This window comes from Homo sapiens, chromosome 17 (genome assembly GCF_000001405.40).
Source record: "Homo sapiens chromosome 17, GRCh38.p14 Primary Assembly".
Taxonomy (NCBI): Eukaryota; Metazoa; Chordata; class Mammalia; order Primates; family Hominidae; genus Homo; species Homo sapiens.
The window spans coordinates 15,102,712-15,107,918 of record NC_000017.11 but is presented as its reverse complement, the minus strand read 5'-3'; the positions used below and the strand labels follow the sequence as shown (position 1 = coordinate 15,107,918).

At 43.4% G+C, this 5,207-nt stretch overlaps 1 long non-coding RNA gene across 1 annotated transcript, besides 1 other annotated feature; it reads left to right on the top strand.

The window, feature by feature from the left end:
- Positions 750-1,949: an enhancer, noted in NCBI's record as "MED14-independent group 3 enhancer chr17:15009287-15010486 (GRCh37/hg19 assembly coordinates)". NCBI's record gives its function as "activates an origin of replication core promoter dependent on BRD2, BRD4, P300/CBP and CDK7 cofactors, and independent of MED14, by STARR-seq in HCT116 cells {active_cell/tissue: HCT116}" and the evidence as "EXISTENCE:reporter gene assay evidence [ECO:0000049][PMID:35650434]".
- On the top strand, positions 1,732-2,934 carry CDRT8 (CMT1A duplicated region transcript 8). Its single transcript, NR_103559.1, has 2 exons — positions 1,732-1,891; positions 2,376-2,934. It is a non-coding gene; the product is annotated as a CMT1A duplicated region transcript 8 (long non-coding RNA).
- Positions 2,935-5,207: the final 2,273 nt, after the last annotated feature.

The window sequence follows — 5,207 nt, the reverse complement described above, 5'->3', positions numbered from 1 at the left end:
GGTGCAATCTCGGCTCACTGCAACCTCTGCCTCCCAGGTTCAAGCAATTCTCTTGCCTCAGCCTCCCGAGTACCTGGGATTACAGGCATGCACCACCATGCCTGGCTAATTTTTTGTATTTTTAGTAGAGATGGGGTTTCACCATGTTGGTCAGGCTGGTCTTGAACTCCTGACCTCGTGATCCACCCACCTCAGCCTCCCAGAGCCCTGGGATTACAGGTGTGAGCCCCCGTGCCCGACCCCCGACCCATTTTCTTATTCGCCTCTTGTAATCTACTATATGGGTCAAAACACCAGATAATCAATCTTATTAAGAATTAAAAAAATAAGTAGGGCACTCAAGAATAAATGGGTCCAGATTCAGTGCATGGACTTGGTGGCATGTGTTTGCTCAAAAGTCTTTTATCCTCCTGGCTCTGGGCTTTGGCTATGTGAAGCCTGGCCATCCTCAGTGCTCAGCTTTTCTTTGACTCAGCAGAGGAAACACAAGTCTGTCTCTTTGATTGCCTCGGGGTGCCATTTTCCACACCCACTTCTCCAGGCCAAATGAGAGTGATTTCACCCGTGCCACAGTTAGAGTTTTCAACTGCAGAACGCAGAAGCTTTCTGTTAAATTCTAGCAGTGTTTTCTTTGAGAGTTTTAGAACAACTGTTTTATAGCAACTATTCCAGTTCCACCACCTGAACTCTTTTATATACAGTAATTTTTAAAATCTCCTATGGTGTCTCTTTAAGAGCCTCTCCAGTTGGCAGCCTTTTCTCTTTGGCTTCTTACCTAGCTCTGTCCTTCTTTGTCCTGCTCTGCAGCATCACTGAGAACTGTTGTGTACGTGCGGACTGTGGGGCTCTTGGCCACACTGAATGGGCCCACAAGGGAACCCCTGGGACACCCTACATTCATTTGGAAATGGCCAAGAGGACTTAGAAAGAAAATAATTGATCCCGCCGTTTCCAAAGGATGGGGGTAAATGCGGTTGTGAATTCTTATGGCTTGGTGAGTTTTGGGTATCCTTCTTTCATGAAATAACATTCAACAGTGGTGTGCAGGCTGCAAAAGGCAGATGAACTTCAGCAACTCTTCCTCAACATGCTGTAAAGGGATAACTCTGGGTCCTAAACACTGAAGCCTGTGCGGGCCTACCTAGCCGAGGCATTCATGATGAAGGGTGACTCATCACTTCCTTGACTCTTAGGCTGTGAAGAATGAAGGTGGGTGGCTGGGCAAGTCACGGTGATCATGGCATTTTGCACTGATTGTGGAGCCTGTTGCTATACAGTGGAGGGGCATTTGTAGGTGGTTTTGAAAAGTAGAAGTCCAGAGAGTGAGTAAAGAGGGAAAAATCAACAGAACTGGGAAAGATGACACATATAAAACCTGAATTTAGTTTAAAAAAACTTTTAAAGTTACTTCTAACAGATAAATTGATCTTGTTTTAGATCATTTTATATAGAAGGTAAATAGTACAATTTTAATCTGAAATGCAAGATAAAGATGAATTGTTTTCCAACAGTTTGTATAATTTTCATGCAAAAAATGAAGGATACAGTAACTCCTTTGTAATGGATAATTTCTGGATGGTTTCTCATTTATGGACTGAATGTATACTCTTCCTCCTGCTCCCACGCAAACTCATATGTTGAAATCCTAACCCTCAATATAATGGTATTGTGATGTGGGGCCTTTGGGAGGTGATTAGGTCATGACAGTGGAGCCCTCATAAACGGGATTAGTGCCCTCATAAAAGAGATCCTGGAGAGATCCCTCTCTCGCCCTCTTTCCACCAAGTGAGGATATAAGAAGTCAGCCATCTGGAAACTAGGGAGAGAACCCTCATGGAACCTGACCATGCCTGTACCTTAGACTGACCTTAGACTTCCAGCCCCCAGAATTGTGAGATATAAGTTTCTACTGTTTATAATCCACCCATCTGTTTTACTTTGTAATAGCAGCTTGAACTGAGATAGGTTCCATTTGCACATGATCTACCTGGGTCACCTATGGCTCGTCCTGCTTTGCTGTTCCTCCAACATTCACCGAGACCTGACTTTATATTCTGTACATATTTGCTGACTTATGTAACATCTGTTTCCCTCACTAGTGTGTAACACCCATGAAAGGAGGTGTTTTATGTGTTCATTTATGCATTCTTAGTGCCTAGGATATGCCTGGCACATATTTGTTAAATGACTGAGTGAACACCAGTGGCAATTTCTTTAAAAAAAATTGATAGCATTGAAAAAATATGGTGGCAAAAGTAATACATTTTCACAGAAGATATTCAGAAAATATAGAAACAGAAAGAAAAAATAAAAATTAACCCCAATTTCACAATGCAGACACAACAACATAAACATTTTGATGTTTATCCTTCCAGGAGTTTTTCAAAGCATTCGTTGGCCTATCTAGCAGGGACTGAGTGAGATGGTACATTGTATATTTATCAAAAGATGCTTCCAGTTTCACCTTGGCCTGGGCAACTGCAGACAGTCTTCTTGGATGATGCTTGTGACTCTTCCCGCAACACCTGAGTGGCCCCTCATGGTTGGGTACATGGGTCCCAAAGCTGAGCCTGAAGTCGATGCTGGGAACTGAGTCACCAAGGGCATGGATGCTTCCATCAAGGCAGACAAGATTTAAAAACCTAGTTTCAGTGGCACTAATGAGACCAATAGCAAACCCAACCTGGGACGTCTTAGGAGACTGGTCACAATTTCCATTTCTCTCTCTGCTCGGCGTTTTTGCACAATCATGAAGAGTTTGGAGAGCAGGAGGAGGCCTCAAAAAGGACATCCTGAGCTTCTTGATAGTGTGTCCGTTGAAGGCCTCATCACTTAATTATAAAGAAAAGTTTTGTTATTAATTTGTCTCCTAAGATTAAATGGATCATATTTATCATTAGGTGCTTTTTAAAAAATAAAATTTACTCCTATTTATTTTGATTCATTTTTTATCATTTCTAAACACTTCCGAAAATGATAAGCTTCCCTGGATGAATACTTGCTTCTCTGACCTGTATAAATTTGCAAAAGGATGAAAAGCAAATAGGAGGAAAGACTTCAAGGCCTGGTGTCTTAAGTTTGTCCCCCCATGAGGAGATAAGGATTCAAGTGCAAGGGGTTCATTTTGGAGGGGGATCTGGGAAGCACCAGGAGGGGTGGAGGAAGTGAGAATGGGCAGGAAAGGGGAGAAAGCCAATTCAGGTGTGCCCACAGCAGGCTATGTCAGAGAGCACTGGTGCTCCCTCCCATCGGGACTTCTGCCAGGGCATGTAGATGCACCTCATGCCTGATGGATGCAAAGCTGAAGCATCTGGCACTAATGCTCATTCATGATTGGTTGCAGGCTGCTTCTGTAGGGGGTCACCCCCTGGTCCTTCTAGCCCGCCCTGTGCACAGGTTGAGGACACTCCTGTGGCTGGAGAAAGCTGGATCTGAAGGTTGTAGAAACTCGCAGAAAGAAGCCATCAAAGTGACTTGGAAAGGTGAGTGCCTGCAGAGGGGCAATGGGTGGGACAGCAGCCTGGGAGATTATTGAGCCTGGCTTCACTGCTAATACAGTGCTGTTTTAATTTCCACTTGGGGCCAGGTGCGGTGGCTCTCACCTGTGATCCCAGCACATTGGGAGGCTGAGGCAGGTGGATCAACTTGAGGCCAGGAGTTCGAGACCAGCCTGCCTAACATGGTGAAACCCTGTCTCTACTAAAAATAGAAAAAATTAGCCAGGCATGGTGGTGCATACCTGTAATCCTAGCTATTTGGAGGCTGGGGCATGAAAATCGCTTAAGCTTGGGAGGTGGAGGTAGCGGTGAGCTGAGATTGTGCCACTGCACTCCAGCCTGGGTGACGGAGAAAGACTCTGTCTCCAAAAAAAAAAAAAAAAAAAAAATTCCATTTGGCCATGTTTCCTTGCTAATAATAGGCTACTTAGATGGAAGGTTACTTGATAATAGGCTACTGGATGGCCAGCTCTGTACTTGGGTCAGTCTTGCTAAAAGGCAGGATTCCCTTGAGGGGTGTGGGTGCGGAGCAAAGTATTGACAGCTAATTGTCATAATAAGGATACCTCCTTTCTGGAGGTAGGAGTCTTTAATTCATTCCTGGGCAGCATTGTCTATCTTCCCCCTTCAACCCTAAACAACTCCCTAAATATCTCCATGTCTGTTGTGGAGGTCTAAAAGGACCTCAGGCTACTGTGGGCATCTCACTGGGTGACCCTTCCCTCAACCTTAGCAAACCTCCCTTCTGGGGACCCCTTCTCTGCATTTGTCTTGGTGGCAAAAGTCTGACTGTTAGTGCTGGACTCTTGGTTTACGGTGAGAGAAGAAGGGGAAGAGAAGCATTCTGACAGCCACAGATTTAAAAAATGTATTTTGTAAGCGAAATATTTCATACTGCCTGGAGATCTTTTTTTTTTTTTTTTTTTTTCAATTGAGACAGAATCTCACTGTGTTTCCCAGGCTAGAGTGCAGTGGTGCAATCTCGGCTCACTGCAACCTCTGCCTGCCAGGTTCAAGCGATTCTCCTGCCTCAGCCTCCTGAGTAGCTGGGATTACAGGTGCTTGCCATGACACCCTGCTAATTTTTGTATTTTTAGTAGAGATGGCGTTTTGCCATGTTGGCCAGGCTGGTCTTGAACTCCTGACCTCAGGTGATCGAGCCACTTCAGCTTCCCAAAGTGCTGGGATTACAGGCATGAGCCAACACACCTGGCCAGATCATTTTTATGGTTATATTTGTTGTATTGAAAAAACCGGGCTCTTTGGATTTCTCCATTAATTTTTATACCTTTCCATTGTTTATGTCTGCAAAGAATTTTTCAAAATGTCTGCTATTATGATATTCATATACCAGAAAGTTTTTTAGGGCTTTAGGGCTATAATGATTTAAAATCTATCTATCTATCTATATCTATCTATCTATCTATCTATATCTCTATCTATATATAGATTTTTATGCTCACACACATATATAAATATAATCCAAATATATATAATTCAAGTATATTGTAATTCAAATATGCATATATATATACTTTCATCAAGAAAAATCTCTATGCACTGACATGGGGATATATCTGTAAACAATAGTTAGAGAATAGTAGGTTTGTGAACAAGAGCAACAATCCCTCCTCCCCTTCTGCCCTCACGACCCTTCCTCTGTTTAGAGAAAGGTCTGGAAGAAAGCGCACGAGACATTTAACAGTGTTT